The sequence below is a fragment of the Homo sapiens genome, chromosome 6 (assembly GCF_000001405.40).
Source record: "Homo sapiens chromosome 6, GRCh38.p14 Primary Assembly".
NCBI classification, from domain to species: Eukaryota; Metazoa; Chordata; class Mammalia; order Primates; family Hominidae; genus Homo; species Homo sapiens.
In genome coordinates, this window is record NC_000006.12 from 162,196,827 (window position 1) to 162,220,300 (window position 23,474).

At 40.0% G+C, this 23,474-nt stretch overlaps 1 protein-coding gene across 6 annotated transcripts in view, besides 2 other annotated features; it reads right to left on the minus strand.

Moving 5' to 3' along the window:
- The window catches only part of PRKN (parkin RBR E3 ubiquitin protein ligase), a 1,380,350-nt gene that overhangs the window by 849,410 nt on the left and 507,466 nt on the right, over positions 1-23,474 (minus strand). For 4 of the 6 annotated variants that reach the window (XM_024446449.2, NM_013987.3, NM_004562.3 and 1 more), the window contains one exon: positions 4,305-4,426. The exons of 1 other annotated variant lie outside the window; for it this stretch is intronic. In XM_024446449.2, coding sequence (XP_024302217.1) covers positions 4,305-4,426 — 122 coding nt within the window. The remainder of the gene's footprint in view (positions 1-4,304; positions 4,427-23,474) is intronic. One more of the 6 variants, XM_011535863.2, reaches the window with a different exon arrangement.
- Positions 3,501-4,700: an enhancer, noted in NCBI's record as "MED14-independent group 3 enhancer chr6:162621359-162622558 (GRCh37/hg19 assembly coordinates)". NCBI's record gives its function as "activates an origin of replication core promoter dependent on BRD2, BRD4, P300/CBP and CDK7 cofactors, and independent of MED14, by STARR-seq in HCT116 cells {active_cell/tissue: HCT116}" and the evidence as "EXISTENCE:reporter gene assay evidence [ECO:0000049][PMID:35650434]".
- Positions 21,475-21,975: an enhancer, noted in NCBI's record as "H3K4me1 hESC enhancer chr6:162639333-162639833 (GRCh37/hg19 assembly coordinates)". NCBI's record gives its function as "activates a minimal SCP1, AML or CMV promoter by ChIP-STARR-seq in naive H9 embryonic stem cells {active_cell/tissue: H9 hESC(naive)}" and the evidence as "EXISTENCE:reporter gene assay evidence [ECO:0000049][PMID:30033119]".

A 23,474-nucleotide genomic window follows, 5' to 3' on the forward strand; every position in this document is an offset into this window, starting at 1 on the left:
ATTACATGTAAATTTTAAATAGCATTCAGGAAATGTTAGAATTAAGAACAAATCACCAATAAAAACTTTAGAAGATTACCATTTAGACTCATGATATGAGTGGATCTCGTTGCAAACTGATTTTTCCAAATGAGAAAAAATACAATTATACTTTCAAAAATAACCCAGGTGGCTAACCAGGTTCCAGTTTTCCTCCTTAGGTATAAAAATCTTGCTGAAGTTCACATAAACCACATGCTGCTCACCTATAACTAGTCAGCCACACAAGATCCTATATTGTATTTTTGTTCTTGATCAGAGACAATTATGTAAGTTATCGATCCTTATAAAGTTCTAGAAAATGAAACCTCAGAATTGCCTATTATTCACACAGCAATCTTTACACTTGGCAAAGTTTAGCACCTACTCCATTATTGCAAAGCCTAAATTTGCTGGTGAATCAGTAGTGTGACTGGTCGGCTGATCCACAGAAATATTATTTGTAGGTGTTACTGAATGTGTATTTTTGTTATTGAAAAATTGAAACATCTGATCTTCTCCTATGGACTAGCTACACTAGATCTAGTTACTGTACTAAAATATGGATTATATAAGTTATCTTTGATTTAATTGTCCCTAAATCCATAAGCATATTTTTTTCAAGAGTATGTTTCAGTTATATTTTAAGTACAAGGGAAGTAGTTAGAAAATAGAACACTGATTACTAGATTTGTATAGTGAGGACTATATCCTAGTAAAGGCCAGGGCTATGGAAAAATACAAAGCAGATTTTTCACTCCTGGCTTCGATATTTATGAACTGTGTAACTTTGGGCTCATTACTTAACCTCATGGAGTCTCTTTGTAAAAACACTGGATGAGAATTGGAGAAAAATAGAAATACAAGAATATAAGGATAAGGAAGGAAATCAGTACACTGTAGTGAAGCCATCATAATTGCTATGCTTCATTTCATTATATGATGCCAGACAGAATTTCTAAAGGGTATGAATTCATGGAGTCAACATAGAAAATTTCGAATACAAATGCTATTTATTCAGCATTACTTGATTCGTGTCTTTCTATGGACAAGGCACTTTGTGAGGTGTTAAACATAAACTAGAGACCCAAGCTGAAAGTTATCTGATCTTATAACAAGGCTTACAGGCTCTTCGAACATAGACAAGTAAGGACACTTTGGTAGAATGAAGGGCAGGAAGTGAATGATACCTGCAATACTGGAGTTGACATTTTGGCCCCTCAGGTAGGAAATGAAGAGAGGAGAGGCCAACAGCTCTAGAAAAACTTCAGAGAAGGGTCAATGATATGCAGAGCAGAAAACAGTGCTTGGGGAAGAAACAGCATGAATTTAAATATCAAAGGTGGAGCATCTCTGGGAACTGAGAAAAATCCCAGGTGGTCACATGACTGGGCTTTGGAGATAGAGGTGGAGCCGAGACTACAAAACACAGGGATTGAACATCCCTCCCAGGATGCTGGGCCTGGGGAGCAGGGTGGCATGACATCATCACAGAGCCTCAGCCTGAGATGGAAATGCTCACAGCCTCTTGATGCAGAGCAGTAGAGGTAGGGGTGGTTTTACTTCTCTGAAATCAGTTAGCCAAAGCCTAGATTGATTTCATACATGAGTATATATAAATATATATACATACATACATAAAATAGTAATATTAATAGAATAACAATAAAGAATTTTACATTTCTAAATATTTATGTTCTGGCTACTGTTCTAAGTACTCTTCGTAAATGAGCTAATCTGCACAAAAGGAAATAGATACTATTGTACCATTGAATAGATATTACCAAGTTGGCATAGGTAAGAGCAAAGGAAGTCAGGATTCTAATGGGGCAGACTGGCTCTGGCTAACTGATTTCAGAGAAGTAAAACCACCCCTACCTCTACTGCTCTGCATCAAGAGGCTGTGAGCATTTCTTAGGCTCACAGGTCATCACCTCTCAGCCAAGCCTTACTGTTCCTGAGGATTACGACATGTCAGGCTCTGGTAAGTACCTACTATTAATGTACCATTTAGTCCCCACAACACTCTATTTTGGCTTGTTATGTTTAGGCCAATGCTACAGGTTGGTTTTCTTTCTGTTTTTCTATTTTTTTCCCACACAAAGCATATTATTAAATGAGAAATCCCATGTAAAATTCCAGATTGATGATTTCTTTTGATTAAAAAGAAAACAATACAGCCATACTGAGTTTCCCTCTCACCTCTTGCCAGCAACTGGCAGAAGCGACTTTTCAACATGAATTCCACCTCACCCTTCCACTACTGTCCTCACCGCCCCCTACTGCCCACATCTAACCTAACTTCTCATCACCTGAGTGATCACTGTGGACATATGAGTATGTGACATCTATCGTAATTATATCTGTGTGTTAAAAAAAAAAAAAGCTGAAAAGCTAAAGGAGTTAAATGTTTAGATTAGACAGTCCAGGTTCAACCTCCAAGTCCACACTCATAAGTTCCTCTTTTCTTGGGCAAATGCCTTAATCTCTTTAAGCCTTATTATCCTCACATCTAAAATAGGGTTACTAATAATGCTTAACTGAGAGTGTTCTTATGAAATAATTAAACCAGATAATGCCTGAAAAGAATTTAGCTTGGAATTCAATATTCATTTTTATTGCCATTTTTACCAAGAATACCAGGAAGTTGGTATAAATAGGTCATATATGCCACCTAAAGCAATCAGGACTTAGGCACAGATTGGGGTAGATGAGGTTGTGTCTTGTGTTGAGAAAGCCAGAGGAGAGGAGCAAGTGGAAGCAACCCCTCTTGGGGACATTGGGCCTGCAGCATGCTGCCCGGCAGGAGAGCTGCCCAAGAACTGTCCCAGAAAGAGCCCCGTGGGCATCATTCTTGTGTGGCTTTGACTCTATAAATGAATTTCTCTAGACAGCTGAAATGTTCATCAAAGTGAAACACTGAATCACAGCTTTCTGTAATTCCACCATTTTCTCAGGCCTGAGAAGATGGATCCATGATTTCTCCTTTATTAGGTGGATCTTTTGAGTTCTTTCACAGGCCCCGTAACACCCATTCTACAGGGCTGCCACCTTGACCCTGGCCCACAGCTCCTCATCTGCGAACCAGATGAAATGCGCCTTAATTAGCCTCTTGTCTTTCACCTGTCCCCATCTTCAAGTCTAATGGCAAACTGTCCTCAGCATGAACTGTCCTCAATAGCGTTTGACACATCACCCTGGTTTATACAATTTTGCTGTGGTTTCCGTCAGCTTGCAGAATAGAATCTGAACATGCCAGTCATCACTGGGGTTCCTGGCTGGTGCCTGGGGTATTTACCCACACTTGCACACCTGACTGCCCCCAGCACTGTGTCCTTGACACCCCCGTGTCTGTGTTCTCTCCACCGCGGGGACTGGACACGCTCGGCCTGCATGCCCTCTATTGCAACCACATCACATCCAGCCAAATCCCTTGGAGCCACCGAGCCGGAACCTGACACTTTCTATCGGGGTCAGCAAACCTGTTCTCTAAAGAACCAGTGAGTATGTATTGCAGGCTTTGTAGGCCACCCAGTCTGTTTCCCAGCTACTCCACTCTGCACTTAAAGCAGGAAAGGAGCTGTAGGCAACATGTACAGAAATGGGTGGGGCTGGCTCTCCATTAAACTTTATTTATGGACATGAGAATGTAAATTTCATGGGTCACATAATGTTATTCATCTTTTGATTTTTCCCAACCATTTAAAGCCATAAAAACCAACTTTGCGTCAGGGGCTGCACAGAAACAAGCAGTGGCCACAGCAGACTTCAGTTGACTGACCCTTGCTTTATATGCATACTGTTTGCTGATCCATACTCTTTTTTTACTTTTTAAAATTAAGGTATAACGTACATTTGGTGCACCAATCTTAACGCAACAGCCCAGTGAATGTTGACTTTTGTATATAACCATGCTACCATCACACAGATCAAGATACAAAACATTTTTAGCAGCCTAAGGTTCCTAAATGGTCCCTTCTAATCACACCGTAACAGAAGCCCAACCTCTTTTTGCTGCCAAAGCACTCTCCATACTTCCTTTCATAGGCCTGGATAAAGTAATGGGGAAACAACCCTGTGTAATCTAAACTTTCACAGAGCAGAAAGAAATCCAGAAGACAAAGGCGCATAAACGAAACTTCGGCTATCATTAACTATCACAACCACAGAAGAGAATGTCTTTTCTTTTCAAAGACGGGTGATACATCATTAGAAAAACTGAAAGGCAATGTGTTAGTACACATTCATTTTCCTGGCAGTCTCATGCTGACACTGCATTTCCTTACCTGGGTCAAGGTGAGCGTTGCCTGCCTGCAGGTGCTGCACTGTACCCTGAGTTTTCCCGGCTGCACTCTTTGACAGGGGCCTTTGCAATACACATAAAAGCTGTTGTAGATTGATCTACCTGCTGGAGAAGAAAAAGCAGAAGAAGTGGCTAATAATGCTGCATCTAAATTGAGACAAGAAACTCTTTAAAAGCTTGTTAGAGGCAAATTTTAAAACTCAGTCTTCAGGAACATTTTGAAACATTACTGGAATAAATATTCCAATGGGAATACAACAATTTAATTTAGAAAATCTAACTTTATGCTCCAAGAGTGAAATCTTTTCTCTCTCTTGCCAACAGCCCTGTGACTTACTCAGCAAAGTAAGCAGCCTACTGCCAAGAGAATCGGGCAAGTGTATCTGCAACACAGTAAAATCAGAGGCACTCTTTGCCGAGGAAGTTTGAAAAGATGACAGGAATTCTTTCAGGATGCTCCTGAATTCTATCTCGTGCTTCCAGACACAGTTTTGAAGACTGCAGATTTTTCCTCATAATATCTACAGAGAAAAACCAGCCCATTTATCGTGATATAAATGATATGATCACAGTTTGCTGGGCTTCTAGGGTTGACTTTCTAACTCACAGTCACACATAAAATAAGAAAAGAGGCCAACGCTGAGGAACTTTCAGAGACCAAGCAGCTATGTGCAGAAATGGATGGTTTGCATTTCATTTATGATCTCTCTACCTAGGCAAACACCATTCAAATAATACATTTTCAAGAGTAAAAGGTGAACAAACAACTAATTCAATAGTTCAATCTCAGATCATTTCTCTCAACTGTCACCATATAGGGACACTCTGTAAACTAGGGAAATTTAATCAATTTATACTTCCATATCTGTTAAGAATTAACTTTATTCAGAAGCACTTACCAGAAATACAACCTTCTTCCTGAATTTCTAAATTTTGAAAATTACTAAATAGTTTTTTCTTTTAATCCTTACCTGGGTGGATAATATAACAGATCATGACATAAAAGTTTCTTTGAAATTTTACTATGATCATCAGAGGCACCTAGAGATAATATATTTTTTTTTAACATTTGGAATGAAAATCTTCAGCCTCACAAATGCATATGATCTATTAAAAACAACTAGAACAAAAATAATGAAAAAAATGAGATTCTAAAGTCCTTTGCAGCTTCATTTCCCGAATTTACAAAAAGAGCTTTTGCAGACATATTGGATTATCATTTGTTTAGCTATCTTTCCTAATACTGTAGGTGACAATACTTTGCAAAATCTGAAGCACAACAAAGATGTAAAGTTTCATGGTTTTATCATTTGTTTGCAATATATTTTATAATTATTACTCTATAAAGATTAATATTTAGTTTCCAGTGGGAAATGGAAGATAAAATGTAAATACATGTTTATATTGATGTGAAAGTACTATTTTCTGACACTTCTGTGTAACTTTAATGCCCTAATGTACAACATATTCAAGTACATAAATATGACATTGCTGTTAGCAAACATAATAATGACATAAAATGTTTCACATGTAATATACATGCAGCATAGAACCATGTATTAATGTTATAGAAATATTTGTAACAACTGACTGAAATATCTGTAATATGTAAGTAAATGTTAATGGAAATATTTGTAACATAAATATTTGCAACATGCAGAGTATCAAAAGATCACAAGAACTGTGACAATTCTGACGTGCACTAAGAAGTGCATAGAAGAAGAAGTGCTTAGAAGAAGAACCTTTACTGTTAAAACCTTTATCAGCAACAGGAACAAATCCAATTTCACAATTTTTATAACCTTTTGTAAAGGTCAAACAATAAAAAGAAAAAAGGAGGAAGAAAAGGAACAGGAAAAGCAAAAGCTTTGAAAGGGGAGTCAGGGCTGCAAATACGCTAGCATTGTTGAAAGAGCATATTAGCAAGAGTTTTACAATATTAAAAGAAGCATCTCAGAAATTGCAGGAAACTAAGTGACTCTTCTCTCTCCCTTAAGGCAATAGTGATGTTTGCAATATTGTTTCAGCTAATGATATATCAACGCAGAATCTGAAAGCTAAGGAACTTTTCCACCTCCGAATGCTACTACCTTCGCTGAAGTCCTTCAGAAGTTATTCAGAAAATACTGTATGCCAATGTCTGTGCCCTAGAAGCATACAAGATGACATGCAATCTATTACACACACTGCTTTCCAGACCCAGCCACAAGTTGGGGATTAACAGCCAGTCTAAGGAAGATCAAGGTCAGGCCAGTCGTGGCTGCAGCGCTTTTCAAGCTGTTGGCTCCACTTGGTCAAGCAGCTGGGGCATCAGGTAAATCTTGAGAGCCCCTCCAGAACGGCTTCCCTATTTATTTAGCTACATAACACAATTAAAAGTTGGCAAGGTTTTCTGTGTCATGCTGTGACCTGGACAGGCATGAAAACAAATAACACCCCGACAATCTTCTGGGCAAGGTTCCCATCGGCCTGGCTGAAGGGCCTAAAGTAGAAACTCTTGAATATGGAGTCATAACTCTTAGAGGAATGGCAAGGCAATTCCAAAAATGACCTGAGAAACCTTTCTTGTGGTATGTAGCTGTCTCTAGTCAATAGCATGAATCTCACCCTTTCACTTGTTCTTGGACCTTAAAATCCTTTCTCTCTCCTAATCAACTCTTCTGTATGGCAGCTTCTTGATTATCCCAATAACTAAAGTAGCTTATGTTTGTGTTCATAAGAGTTTCCTCTTTTTGTATAGTAAGTTTTGAAACATAGAGAGATATTTCAAAAATTGTACAAATCACATCCTTCATTGTAATTCATCACTTGCAGATATTTCGCCACGTTTGGGTTCCCTGTGCGCGTGTGTGTGCATATAGCTGTGTACACATATACTACATGTATAAACTATTTGGTTGAAGGATCTGTAACACAGTTTCTGACATCATGCTACTTCACCTCTAAATTCTTCAACATCCTAAAACTAGGGATGTTTTTCATATAAAACCATTTAGCTTTTTAAGTGATTTGGTTATTTTGTAGTTCTATTCATAGACTAATCAGGTATATTTTAAGTAGGCATTACAGAAAATGACAGTGGTTTGCAAGCTAATAAAAGATGACAATAAAAAATATTGGGGATTCTCTCGTCAAACCAATTTAGGTGGTGCTAAGTGAAGCCACATTAAACAAGTCCCCTGACCATACCCCTTCTCAGAGCTGAGTGACTCTGTAAAAATGAAAGGATGAAGCACAGGACATCTCAAACTTCTCCTGACCATAGATGCCTTCCTGGAATGCTGCATCGTGTGACACTGTACTTCTCAGAAAAAAACAATTTAGAAAAAAATATCAGATGAAGGATTCAATCCACTTGTAGGGCTTGATTTATAGAAAGTGAAACTGCTCATGTTTATAAACCCAGATTTACCAAATTCTCCTGGATATCTGCCTACGGCCAAGTTCTTTCCTCCAACCCAAAACATCAACGAACTCATATAATTACTTTGTCATGTGCCAGGAGGTTAAGTCTACTTATGTAATGATTTTGCAAATAAAGTATGTTAATTTTATTCAGAAGTTTTGTTTTTTTTTTTTCCTGCAGAGAAGTTAAAAAGAAAAGTGTACTGAGTTCAGGGCCCTTTTAAAGCGTGAGTCACCGTGGCCATTCAGAGGTCCACTGGCTTTCTACCATTCCTTAGCCTAAGAAGTCCATCTTCTTCTTCTTTTTTTTTTTTCTTTTTTCTTTTTTGAGATGGAGTCTCGCTGTGTTGCCCAGACTGGAGTGGAATGGTACAATCTCGGCTCACTGCAACTTCCTCCTCTTGGGTTCAAGTGATTCTCCTGCCTCAACCTCCTGAGTAGCTGGAACTACAGGCGTGCACCACCACACCCAGCTAATTTTGGTATTTTTAGTAGAGACAGGGTTTCACCATGTTGGCCTGGATGGTCTTGATCTCTTGACCTCATGATCTGCCCACCTCAGCCTCTCAAAGTGCTGGGATTACATGCATGAGCCACCACGCCCGGCCAAGTCCATCTTCTTCTTTAGTTTTCTCTCACGCTTTGCCTAACAGAACCCTCAGTCAAATCTTCTCTTTTCCTTTCTTTTCTTGGTCAAAAAAGTTGCTGAAATAACAATGTTTACAACATATTGAATAGAGCCAATATTTGAAAATAGTATATTTTATTTGCTTGGGATTTTTTAGAAACCAGTATAATCTTTACAGTTATCATTTTTCTTTTATGTATTTTAGATAATAGGCTTAAGGGTTGAAGACAGGATACTTAGGAAGAGTCGTTCTGATTCTAATGGAAACTTTTCATTAACCTGAGAAGTTTCCATCACTAGTTGTCACTGAGAATTTAATTGCTGGGATAATTTGTTTTCTAGGTGGGGAGAGAGTAAGATTTAACATATTTCTTACCTTGGTAAAATACTGTTCAGTATCAACATATTGTAACAGAGCAAAACAGCAGGAACAGGACGGATTTTAAGTGATATTTATCACATGAGCTATTAAAATATTAAGTAGAACAATGTCACCCAAGAGAACTCTCTGCAATGATGAAAATGTTCTCCATTTGCACTATCTCATATTAATATATACACACACAGACACACACACACACGTACATAGCATATGTAGCCATTAGCTACAACTACCTATGGAGAACTTGAAACTTAGTGAGGAATTACTCTCTGAGTTTTATTAATTTAAAGTAGTTTCAATTTAAATAGCTGTCTGTGGGTAGCAGCTACCAAACTAGAAAGCACAGAAGAAGAGAATAAAAACCACTGGTGTGGCTGGTCCCCTCTTCAACTGACAACGCGGAGACTCACTGGGCAGTGAAACAGCTTGTTTTAATCTGTGCTCATATAAAAATAATGTTGGCCCGAGAGAAGGAGAAGGAAGAAGGTTTTACTCGTGGCACTGGGGTAGGACAGAAACAGGGGGGACTTCCGTAGTGCTAGAAGCAGAGAAAAGGTTCTCGCCATCATGTGCCCTTATTTCCTACACCAAGGGGATCTGTTCTTGAGACGCACCTGGACAGCAATGGCTCCATCTCCATTTCCATCACCACCTTTGAAATCTGACCCATATGCTCAAGGTACAGTTAGACTGGCACTTCTTGTATGATTTCTGCCCTTGATTTCCATTATCATATGATATTTCCCTAAAAATGACATCTAAGAGAAGGAAAGTAGCCAGTGCAGTCTCATCCTCTTCGAACAGCTGGCTTGCACCAACACCACAGAACCAGCTACTGATAAGGAGCTGCTGGCATGAGGCGTCCCCCAAGCCTTTGTCCAAAGCCCCCCACATTGCCAAGCCTGGCTATTGGTGGTTTCAGCTCCTTCCCTCTTTCCTCCTTCTGACTACAGAGTTGTCCTTGTTTCTTACACATCAAGAATGCTGCTGCTGGTGTCATTAGCTCTCATTTTTCAGTTACACCTGCCATATTCCCTCAGTTCAGCCCTGCGCCTAGTCATGCAGGGAGTCACCTCAGTTCTGGTGGAGCCCTGGATTCTCCTGTGGAATAGATGCATGGCCAGAGTTTCTGGACCCGGGACAGGGATCTGGTCAGAAGTAACAGCAGGGGCACAGAACCTTCTTCCTCATCATCCATCAGGATTATTGCTACTGTATTTCTGGGTGCTGGCCTTCAGCAGGGCTTGACCACATTTGCTGGAATACACGTCTCCACAAGGACACAACCAGTATGTACCAAATGAACAGAATCAGCACCACCTCTGATGTCCAGCAAGCGCTTCTTTACACATTATGGAGAGAGAACCCACTTTTCTTCATGTTGAGTGAAGGTATTCATTAGTTCTAGTTTAACCAATATGTACAGAAATAGTCCAAAGTGGTTCCACATGAAATTCATTTGGACTGGACTTCCTGAATCACCTCTTCTAAGGACACCTTGCTTTGGAGCCTTAAAAAGATGGGGATCGGCCTGCCGCAGTGACTCAAGCCTGTAATCCCAGCACTTTGGGAGGCCGAGGCAGGCGGATCACAAGGTCAGGAGATCCAGACCATCCTGGCTAACACGATGAAACCCCTTCTCTATTAAAAATACAAAAAATTAGCCGGCTTGGTGGCCGGACCCCTGTAGTCCCAGCTGCTCGGGAGGCTGAGGCAGGAGAATCGCTTGAACCCAGGAGACGGACGCTGAAGTGAGCTGAGATCCCATCACTGCACTCCAGCCTGGGTGACAGAGCGAGACTCTGTCCCCCCAACCAAAAAAGAAAAAGATGGGGATAACGACCATTTCACCATTATGCAGGTTACTGGGGGAAAAGTTGCTAAACTGGGCAGGTCAAACACGGAGGCTTCATTATCTCACTAGAAATCTCCCTCTAGGGAGCCACAGTCAGCACTCTCTGGAAAGGTCATGCAGCCAACCGATTCACTTGACCGTCCTAACATCCCACTCAGCGCATGGCCCCGTGTCTGCCCATCTTTCCGTCTCACTATGTGAGTGGACCACTCTCTTCAGTTGAACGCTTCCTTCCCTCTCCTTCTGAAGGCTCATGGGACCTCATGTGCACACCACTGGCCCTCAATGCGCTCACCTTGACCTTTCTGTACCTGTCCAAACTTTTCTATGGATACAACCTCTCTGTGTGTAACACTTCACTCTATTTCATATGCTCCAAATGGCTAGTGAAGTTCCCTGAACTCAATAAACACTCAATAGGTATTTGCTAGGTCAATAAATTCTCCCATATTTTTAATGGGGTGAAAACTGAAGTGAGCATGGTGGTGTCAGGGCAACAAATATAAAATAGAATGCAGCCATGATCATTCAATATCTAGAACATCTTTCCTACCAACCAGACACCCTTTAAATTGTTGGGATATCATATTTGAAATCAGTAAAATTAAACATTAGAAAAATTACTTACATAAGAACTAAAATAAAAAAATGTTTATATAGGACTTGGTGTAACTGAATGTTAAGGAGAAAAAGTGAAATTCTAAGTTTACCAACAAGTAGAACTATTCTAAAGGAAGACAGTTATTACATGAACACTCTTCACTCCAAACCTTGTCCAATAGGTTATTACACCCAACTGAATCAAACTGCCTGTTCCATGCTTTTAACGAGCCATAAACTTAACTCCTGTGGAGTAACCAAGGTTATGCTATATTGTAAACAGCTTCCAATTACATAACCATCCATCCAGTGAATGTACTTCTAAAAAATACTTCTAAAACATGCTTAGCAATCTCTAAGGAGACTCTACACTTAAAAGTTATAACTTAATTCTCAAATTTTTGCTGGGGTTTTAAATTAACGTATCTGCACAATAATTTGACCTACTGAGGCAAAAACTGCTGATTAAATCTAATACCTTTTTCTGATTTTTTGGTTGTTGTTGCCAATTTATTTTTTCATTTTTCATTTTGAAAATAATAATGAAATTTCCCATACCAAGACAAAACTGTAGAGTGAAGCAAAATTTAAGAATTAGGTTTAAATAAATAACAAAGTACAAAGCCAAAAAGAGTAAATGTAGTTGCTTTTTCTTTCAGAAATGGATACGGGCCAGGAAATGGGCACAGTTAAGGTGGTGCCAGGAAAGTCACAGCTTTCCAAAAGTTGAATAAACTCCATAATATAAATGTAGATGGAAGAAACCATCAATGCTGCAGATAATGTGTCCAGTTTCCTCACAATGACATCTCTATAGCCTGGGGTATGTCCATCTTGGCTTAAAGAGGCAGCACCTATGGGAAAACTGGCTAGCCATATGTAGAAAGCTGAAACTGGATCCCTTCCTTACACCTTATACAAAAATTAAATCAAGATGGATTAAAGACTAAAATGTCAGACCTAAAACCATAAAAACCCTAGAAGAAAACCTAGGCAATGCCATTCAGGACACAGGCATGGGCAAGGACTTCATGACTGAAACACCAAAAGCAATGGCAACAAAAGCCAAAATTGACAAATGGGATCTCATTATACTAAAGAGCTTCTGCACAGCAGAAACTATCATCAGAGTGAACAGACAACCTACAGAATGGGAGAAAATTTTTGCAATCTACCTATCTGACAGAAGGCTAATATTCAGAATCTACAAAGAACTCAAACAAATTTACATGAAAAAAACAAGCAACCCCATCAAAAAGTGGGCAAAGGATATGAACAGACACTTCTATGCATCCATAGAACAGACAGCTATGCAGCCAACAGACACATGAAAAAATGCTCATCGTCACTGGTCATCAGAGAAATGTAAATCAAAACCACAATGAGATACCATCTCATGCCAGATAGAATGGCAATCACTAAAAAGTCAGAAAACAACAGATGCTGGAGACGATGTGGAGAAACAGGAACGCTTTTACATTGCTGGTGGGAGTGTAAATTAGTTCAACCATTGTGGAAGACAGTGCAGCGATTCCTCAAGGATCTAGAACTAGAAATACCATTTGACCCAGCCATGCCATTACTGGGTATATACACCCAAAGGATTATAAATCATGCTGCTAATAAAGACACACGCACATGTTTGCTTATTGCAGTACTATTCACACTAGCAAAGACTTGGAACCAACCCAAATATCCATCAATGATAGACTGGATTAAGAAAATGTGGCACATATACACCGTGGAATACTATGCAGCCATAAAAAAGAATGAGTTCATGTCCTTTGTGGGGATGTGGATGAAGCTGGAAACCATCATTCTCAGCAAACTATCACAAGGACAGAAAACCAAACACTGCATGTTCTCACTCATAGGTGGGAATTGAACAATGAGAACACTTGGATGCAGGGCGGGGAACATCACACACTGGGGCCTGTTGTGGGATGGGGAGAGGGGGGAGGGATAGCATTAGGAGAAATACCTAATGTAAATGATGAGTTGATGGGTGCAGCAAACCAACATGGCATATGTATATGTATCAAACTGGTATGTTGTGCACATGCACCCTATAACTTAAAGTATAATAATAAAAAATAAAATAAAATAAAATAAAATAAAGAGGCAGCACCTCTCTGGAGCCATGACCTCTTTGTCAAACCCTGGCCTGGCCTTGTCACCTTTGGGAAATCAGCTGGCCCTCAATGCCTGTTCTCTCATCTGCAATTATATGTCTACTATTATTGTCTCAGTAGACAATAATAGTATCTAACTCAGTAGACTGTGGTAAGGATTTTAAAAATAATAATGGAGGTGAGGCACTTAGAACAATGTCTGCTATACATGGAATGTTCAGCACATGTTGTTTATTTGTATTTGCTGCCAAAAAAATTCTGAACTCAAGCTCCTCCCACGGATTCTTCAAGCTGTAGGCATTTACCCCTCCTACTTCCTCAGGTGGCTACTTTCCTGTTTAATAAATGTTGATTCTTAGACAGTATTTCCATCTTAAATCCACTGCATTTTTGTAAATAGAGGAAATATAAATCTTAAATAATTCTTTTTAAAATTACTTCATTCCCAACCAAATCCTTTACAATTAAATATTTAATAATATTATGGAACACAAACCCTGATGGAAAGTCCCAAAATTGATTGAAATTTTTCTAGAATCATATTTGTTTCTGTGAATCACTTTTTTATTATGAGGTAAGAGATACAGGGGTGGACTGCAGAAAAGTTAGGAAGGAAAATAATAAACAATTACATGATCTAGTCCAGTTGATAAAATTTTCAAGTTGGCTAATATGCTTTAAAAAAAAGTATTTCCAAAATAAAAGCTTTTTTTATTGTATGGTTGTGGAATGGTACTAAAGGGGATTCAATATGTATTTCAAAATTTAATATGAATGGCAGACTTGTTAAATTTGCATCCACTCTTCTTTGAAAGGTAGGTACGATTGTCAGCATTTCATAACAAAGAAAACACAAGCTAATGGGTTGAATGGTGTCCCCAAGACAGCACTCGGGGTCATCAGAGATTTACAGGTAAGCCTTCCTCATTAGAAAGCACAAGCTTTCCTTTTAACCACATGATAATAACCTTGAGTCAGACGGTGGACTTTACAAAATACTGTAGGGGACTGATTCCATGGCTCTTGCAAAGTGGCACTTACACACAGATCGGCAATTATGGACCCAGGCCAGCAGTCACAAACACCACTGCAGGTGCTGGCTCACTACCCCCACATCCCTCATGCAATCAGTGCTAACAGTTTCATGGAAATTCCCATTAATGTTTTAAAGCACTGGCATTCAGTAAGAATGTGCAGGTACAGCAATTACCAATGAGGAAAATTAAGTCTCATTTTCAAAGATTAGCACATGTTCTACAAATTGAATGTTATCCCAAGAAATGGAATCCATGGAATGACCTGAGAATCAATACAATTTCTTTTTTATTTTTACAGAAGTAGTACTTTTCTTGCTATTTAAAAAATAATTTAAAATTTTTTAAAAAAACATTCTAAGTGTTAGAAAAACCTGTTACGTAAATGAACCCTCAGAGGAATGGCATTAATTAAGAGAGTAGAGCAACACGGTGTGAGCCTCCAAACTCCCACATTCTTTGTTCATCTTCAATAGCCAATATAATTAGTTTTGTATAAATATTTTATTTACATATAATATTTCCTATCTTCACTGCTAACATAAAATAAACCTCTTACAAATTTCGATGCTTTAAGCATCTTATTTCACCTGTAACAAATAAGACAAAACATTCAATGTTAAAAAATTTGGATCATTTCTAGTATTGATTTCCAAAAGCTTTTGGTGGTGATTGAGATTCATAAAATCTCTACTACCTCTTAAAAGAGGAGAAGACATATTTTTCTCTAGTAACATACTGATAAGTTAGAAACACATGGTGATGTCATCATGCTGGGGGGAAAACATAGATTATTTTTTTCCTTTAATCAAGACTGATAAGACTATGAATTACATATTGTTCTAAAAGTCTGCACTGGAATAACTCCAGCTGAAACACTCTTCACTGGTACTGTGGGACCATGAAAGTCTTTCTATATCATGAGTATCTCAGTCAAAAGGTTTCCAGGAATCCATCTAAGACCTCACTCAGGGGCCGCCTCTCTCCTACCCTAAACACTCCTTGCTGTAAGTTCCCTTCAAGTTGAATGTCTGTAGCAGGCTGAGCTATCCCATCTTCTGCAGTGACTTCACCTGTTTAAGTCAGCAATCCCCCGAGATTTGAAGCTTCTCAAGGGCAAGTTTCATGTCAGTGGTCTCACTTCTATTCCCCACCCCCACCTTCAACCAAAAAGAATGTTGTCCCAGGAAGACATTAAACCCTGTGAATGATCAAGTAATTAAGAAATTGGTGAGATTAAGAAAGCTCGCTTAAACTCAACATTTTAAAAACACAGGAAAGTTGCTCGGCCTGTGCTACAGATTACAGTAATGTTTCTGTTTACTTTTGATATTGTCTCTGCCTAAAGAAGAAAAACATCGGGCTTTGAGAATGCTGCAGAGTCACAGGCCGGCATGTATTCTTCATTGCCTCTATAAAAGGTAAACTTAGAGAAATCTAAACATGCTTATATACAGTCAGGCATTGTTTAACAACAGGGATATATTCTGAGAAATGTGTCCTTAGACGATTGTGGAATTGTGCAAACATCAGAGTGTACTTACACACACCTAGATGGCATCACCTAGTACACAGCTGGGCCCTATGGTACAGCCTATTGCTCCTAGGCTATGAACCTGTAGAGCATGTTACTGTACTGAATACTGCAGGCAGTAACTGTAACAGTAACTGTAACACAATGGTAAGTATTTGTATACCTAAACATATCTAAACATAGAAAAGGTAATGTGACATTATGAGGGCTATGATATGACTGGGTGATAGAAACTTTTTAGCTCAATTAAAATCTTATGGGGCCATTGTTATATATGTGGTCCATCCTTGACTGTATGTCTTTATGTGGTGCATGACTATATTAGCAGTCAATAGGAAAAAAAATGAAGATATAAATTGATAATTTATCAGTCAGTATCTAGCTTTCTAAATGTACTTTAATCTTGTCTGCAAAAAGGATTGGGTTGTTTGGGAAAAGGGAGAATGATGGTTAGAAAGTGGGGTGGTGGTCCTAAAGAAACAGAAGAATATTAAAAACCTATCAAGATGCCATCTATCAATAATGTTAACAATAAATATTGGGGGAAATCTCATGGACTCAACACTAGTAGTTTGTGAGAAAATAATGAAACAATCAAGACAAGCCTCCCTTTAACAGTTTTCAAATCCTAGAATAACACTGAGATGTATTCCGAAACACCGTGAAGGGTATTTCACAATGCATACACAACTGGGAAGGAGCCTAGCATGCTCACAATAGTAAAACGATGCTGGGCACAGTGGCTCATGCCTGTCATCCCAGCAGTTTGGGAGGCTGAGACAAGTTGAGCTTGAGCTCAGGAGTTCGAGATCAGCCTGGGCAGCACAGTGAGACTTCATCTCTACAAAAAATAAACAAAAAAATAGCTGAATATGGTGGCACATGCCTGTACCTCCAGCTAGGAATAGCTAGGAGGCTGAGGTGGGAGAATTGCTTGAGCCTGGGAGGTCAAGGCTGCAGTGAGCTAACATGGTGTCACTGCACTTCAGCCTGGGCTACAGAATGACACCCTGCCTTAAAAAAATAAAAAAAATGTATATTTTGTAGAATTATTACTATAGTAAAAATATTTCCAAAAAAAAACCATACACACACACACACACACACACACACACACACACACACACACACACACACACACATATGAATAGTAAGAAGTAATAGAGTCTTATATTGAAAGTTCTTTGATGTCCTATTCTGGAATTATTCTAGCTTCACTTTCCCATGATCCTGTGTTCTATCCAGATGCATCCACTCATACCCTTAGGAGGCCAGAAGGCAGCCATGCACCCTAGATCAAAAGGTGTTGGCTCAATGCTGTTAGGGAGTGACCCCAGACACATCCCCTATCTCTCTGGAGCTTGGTTCAGGTCTCAGACGTACAGCATACACACACGAACACCAAGGTGCCAGGAGACACTGCAGGAAGACCTTCAAAGGGGAACAGATCAAACAAATAGGCACCTGAAGGAAGGGAAGGGAAGTTTAGAGGTGGGGCCAATTCAACACCCAGAGTTCTATGACTTCCAATTGCACGCACTTTGTTTCAGCTGTACCATCTTTTCTATCTCCAGTATCCTAGGTTTTGAGCAGCAGAATCGTGGTTTCCCTAGAGAGTCAAGACAGAAACCACAGCACAGACTGCCTCCTCTCCTTTCTTCAGGGTTGGATGGTTCTCTCTGTGTAGTTGGGGATGGCAGCCACTGGTTACCTGTGGCTCTGAGCACATGAAAGGTGGTTCCTGAAACTAAGGAATTCATTTTTAAATCTTATTTACATTTGTTTAATTTAAATTTAAACAGCCAGTTCTGTCCAGTGGTTATCCAAATTTGGGCAACACAGGTCTAAGGGAATGAATTCCTTCTTAACACAGATTGAAGGTTCCAGGGAAGTTACCTGTATATTTGCAGACTTTTATCCAGTACATATGCAAATAATTTCTGTCCAGTGAAACAGATAACACCCAAAATGTGTGGCCTGGCGGAAATTTCTTAGTTGATAAATAGATAGATAGAAAGATAGATCCCTAATTTCTCAAGGCTCTCTGAATTGGTCATGGTATCTTATGATGTCCCTCATTCATTAAAAGATTAAATAAAAATTTTTACATGTGTTCACTTTATATTTGCTTTATAATTTTACCTTTTGTAAATTATACTTTAGGATCTTATTTTTGAGGAGAGAGAAGATTGTTAAGGCTCCAGCTTGGAGTTGTCTCTCAATAAGTAAGCAATAAATATTCACCTTTCTTCCTCATCCTTTATCCCTGCTAACAGCATCTAGGAATCCTTATTTCATCCTACTTCCCCATCTGCAACCTTATTGGGCCCAGAAATACCACTTCCTCTAGGAAGTCTTACTTAATTCCTCCATTTAATGTAAATCCCCTCCCCCTAAATGCCCACTACATTTGAGTTGCATCATTCTTAGGGGTCGTAAGCTACATTCTATCTCACAATATCCCATAGATAATTTTATCTCTCCTACCAGGCTTTAGATTCTTTTGAAGGTGAAGGCTACATTTTATTGCATTCTCCCTGGTGTTGATGAATAAAAACGGTAAATATTATGTGGAGGAACCAAATAACTAGACTTGAAACTAATGGTGTGGTATAAAAAAGTCTTTCAGCTTGCAAAAGATAAAATCACAATCAACTGGCCTTAAAATAACTTAATCTCTGTGACAATATAATGAGGAATGTTCTTCCAGGCCCATTAAAATGACATGCAATTTGATAATTATTTTTACAGTGTCAGGATTCTAAACTAAATGTTTCTCAGCTTCTGTTATCTGGTGATACTAAATGAATGTTGTCAAAAGATTAAATGTAAATTGGTTATAAATCTTCATTTAACCACATCATGCAGGGAAGGTTACATTACAGCCACCATGTTCGTGTCATCATTAAGAAATGGAGTCTTATTTTAATAGTATTAAGACTATTGAAATTATTGTTTATTCTATCTAATTGGCTTTGGAGTTGAGGATGAAGCTTTTGATGGGCATCACTGAATACAGGAGCAAAACTGAAATAAAAATGAGGGGCAGGCCGGGCGGTGGCTCACACCTGTGATACCAGCACTTTGGGAGGGCAAGGTGGGTGGATCATGAGGTCAGGAGTTCAAGACTAGCTTGGCCAACATGGTGAAACCCCATCTCTACTAAAAATACAAAAATTAGCTGGCATGGTGGTGCATGCCTGTAATCCCAGCTACTTGGGAGACTGAGGCAGGAGAATTGCTTGAACCGGGACCCGGGAGGCAGAGGTAGCAGTGAGCAAGATCGCACCACTGCACTCCAGCCTGCGCTACACAGTGAGACTCTGTCACAAGAAAACTGAAGGGCAATGAACTTAAACCCTTCTGGACCCCAAATGGACAAATGGACAGGATGGGGAATAGCTGCAGCCACTATCTGCAGGAAACACTATCATTGTCTGAAAGGCCATCTTCACTTTCTAACTAGATTTTCCAAACTAATTAAACAATCTAATTTCAGTGAAAAGTCCTTCTTTTAAAAACCCAGTTTGCGGCCGGGCGCGGTGGCTCACGCCTGTAATCCCAGCACTTTGGGAGGCCGAGGCGGGTGGATCATGAGGTCAGGAGATCGAGATCATCCTGGCTAACAAGGTGAAACCCCGTCTCTACTAAAAATACAAAAAATTAGCCGGGCGCGGTGGCGGGCGCCTGTAGTCCCAGCTACTCCGGAGGCTGAGGCAGGAGAATGGCGTGAACCCGGGAAGCGGAGCTTGCAGTGAGCCGAGATTGCGCCACTGCAGTCCGCAGTCCGGCCTGGGCGACAGAGCGAGACTCCGTCTCAAAAAAAAAAAAAAAAAAAAAAAAAAAACCCAGTTTGCCTGGCTTTTTCAGGAAATGACCTATGGTTTGATCACCTGTCCAAACCATCTGGCGGCAGGAATGTGATCTAGTTAGACTCTCACAGACGGTGTCTGGGAAGCTCCATCATTGGGCTTTAATGTTAAAGCCACACGGCCACACAGCCAGGACACTTTGATGAACAGCCACTCACGGACACAGTGAGCCCATCATGAGATGATGAGACCAAGTTGCATTACAATGATTTTGACAGCCAGCAAAATTATATTTAAAAATGAAATCTTTCTTTTGGTTCTGTATTTGAAGTAAGGAAAATCACTTTGGGGGTAAAATCAGGGTTTTGGAAGAAACTGATACTTCTTATTAGGTTTAATTTAACTGGCAGTAATAATTAGGACATGATAATTATACCAGGTGAAGCCTGCAATAGACTTAGTTCTACTTTAATACTTAATTGATATTGCAAACACCAAGATTTTCGGTGTACAGACAAATATAGTATCCTTGTATAAATGTATATGCTCAACTAATGCAGCTATTCTACAATCGAAGAATCTCTCCTTAATCAAGGAAAATGATTCATATCAGAAAAACTGTAAAAAGCACCTCTTGACACATTCTCCATGTGCTACATGAACCAAGGCCCAATCATTTGTTCCCCTCAGTCTCTCTCCTGATATGCATGGTTTCCACATCCCTTTCTACAGCCTCTGTGTGGGGGTAGGAAGAAGGAAGCAGAAAAACAAACACACACATCCACATGTTCCTTCTCCTTACTGCTCTGGCTTCTCAGACTTGGTCCCACTACTTACATTTTTTTGTTTGTTTATTTGTCTGTTTGTTTGAGACACAGTCTCCCTCTGTTGCCCAGCCTGGAGTGCAATGGTGCTACCTCAGCTCACTGCAACCCCCACCTCCCGGATTCAAGCTATTCTCCTGACTCTGCCTCCCTCCCAAGTAGCTGGGATTACAGGCGTGTGCCACCACACCCAGCTAATTTTTTGTGTGTGTATTTTTAGTAGAGATGGGGTTTCACCATGTTGGTCAGGCTGGTTTCGAACTCCTGACCTCAAGTGATCTGCCCACCTCGCCCTCCCAAAGTTCTAGGATTACAGGCATGAGCCACCATGCCCAGTTTTAAATTTTTAAAAGAGTATTAATAAATACATCAATCAGAGGAATATGTAAGATTCTACTGAGAAGCACAATTCCTATTAGCGCAAGGGAGACAAAAACACTATCATGGTATTGTTAAGGCTCCAGCTTGGGGTTGTCTCTCAATAAGTAAGCAATATTCACCTTTCTTCCCTATCCTTTATCCCTGCTAACAGCATCTAGGAATCCTTAATCTATCCGACTTCTAAGTAGGAGGTGAGCAGGGGTGTGGGAAAACATTCTGGCAGGATCTCTATGCAAAAGAAACAGGTGGTTTAGGGTGCGATTGAGAGGTAGACATGTCCCACACAGCTCCAGCACAGAACTGCACGCCGGGGTGACAGGTCTGCCTTTCAGAGGACTAAGCTGCTGTGGCAACAGCCAGCCACAGCCCTCCAGAGGAAGGACCACAGTTCATAAACTTTAGAGTCTCTGGGAGCACTTGCTGGGGAGCAGCGTGATGGAGGTGCTTTCCAGAAGGCGGTGCTGACCAGGCCGCTCCCTGCGGAAGCCCCTCTGGGGAAGGACACTGGGCAGCAGGAATGATGGTGGTGGCTCAGCAGGGGTGGAGAACTCCTGTGTGCAGCCTGTGTTCCTGCTGAGAGAGGCCCCAAGCCCTGGAGTCATGACATCAGGAGGCTGTCGTGACTCGTTCACTAGGTGTGGGAAGCCCAGCACTGTGTAGTACATGCTGCAGAGGGCAGAACCCTGAGGTGTGTGGCAGCCTAGAGTCCTGCTGAGCATGGCAGCCGGGGCTGGAAACAGTGAGGCCTGTTCTGGAGTGCCTCTGTGCAAATCCACCTATCTGGGGTTGGGGATTGGACATGAGTTATTTATTCGTTTATTAGTTATTAATTTTTAAGTTTACCAGGGAAATTGCATGCATAGCAAAATATGGAAACCATTCATTAAAAGATTCATGAGACTAAGGTATCAGTTCAGTGGACACAAAATAAGCATTCCAGGAGTAGAAAGCACCCTACTTTGTGGGGTGACATTGAGACAGTGCTGGGAACCTAACAGTGAAGCTCCCTATGTGAGGACCTGGTGCCACAAATGGGGTGGTAGATAATGCACATGGGCCTCCACTCATGTTCCTCCGTGGCAGCGAATTAAAGAACATCCATCTTCTTACTTCTTTTCTGTTTCTCAGTTGCCAACCATATGCCTGTTTAGTTACACACCTCGGCATGGTGGCTCACACCTGTGATCCCAGCACTTTGAGAGGCCAAGAAAGGTGGATCACTTGAGCCCAGGAGTTTGAGACCAGCCCGGGCAACATGGAGAAACCCTGTCTCTACCTACATAAAAAATAAAAATTAATAAATAAATTAGCTGGTCATGGTGGCATGCACCTGTACTCCCAGCTACTTGGCAGGCTGAGGTGGGAGAAATCACTTGAACCCAGTAGGTCAAGGCTACGGTGAGCCATGATCCTGCCACTGTACTCCAGCCTGGGTAACAGAGAGAGTTCTTGCCCAAATAAATAACTAAATAAATAAAATAAGAAATCAGCCAAAGACTTCACTTGCTCTGACAGAAACTTTCACAAAATCTACTAGAACGCAGTGGATTCAGAGATCTGTCAAACACTTCTTTATCTAATACTGCATAGGTGACTCCCTGTCTAGAAAAATTAATAAAAACTGACAAGCCACCTGCACTGTAGCTCTTCCGCTTCCTCTACTGTTCATTATTGGCTTTATTTCATTTCTATATTAAACTGCATATTACAAACTCAGGCCAGCTGGATCTTTGCATAGATACTATATCTTGTTTCTGCCAGAGATGATTTTTATTCAGAATGAACAGTAAAAGGCAACACTACGTAGAAAATGCACTTGAGTTTTAAAATAAAGATGAAAAAACTTGTGCATCATCCAATGGTCCTCCGCAGCATGGAGGAAAAAAAAAAAAACATACTTCAGGGAGATAATATCTTTCCTTCTCCATTTCACAAATGGGTATCTTCAATTAAAACACTTGTTTAGATTCATTAGTGTTTCCTTGATTTGATTCTTCGGTCCATGAGTAAATACATTTTAGAGATTAAATGATTAGTTTCTTTACATATGAAATAGGGCTAATAGTATTTGCCTTTAATGATGTTGGAGAATAGTAAATAAAATAAAATACCCTTGCCAGGCATGTACAGTTGCTCCCTTGTATACATAAAGGATTGGCTCCAAGACCTCCTATGGACAGCAAAATCCAACAGTGCTCAACACCTTTATATAACATGGTGTGGTATTTGCCTATAATCTGTGTATATCCTCTCATATATTAAAATTGTTTCATCAGCAATGGGGAAAAGACTCCCTATTCAATAAATGGTGCTGGGATAACAGGCTATAGATATACAGAAGAATGAAATTCAAGATGGATTAAAGACAATCCATCTTGGAGTTCATTTTTCTGTATGGTGATTCCTATACAGAAAAATACCTATCACCATACAGAAAAATCAACTCAAGATGGATTAAAGACTTAATGTAAGACTTCAAACTATAAAAATCCTAGAAGAAAACCTAGAAAATATCCTTCCCATTCTAGGCCTTGGTAAAGAATGTATGCTTAAGTCTTCAAAAGGA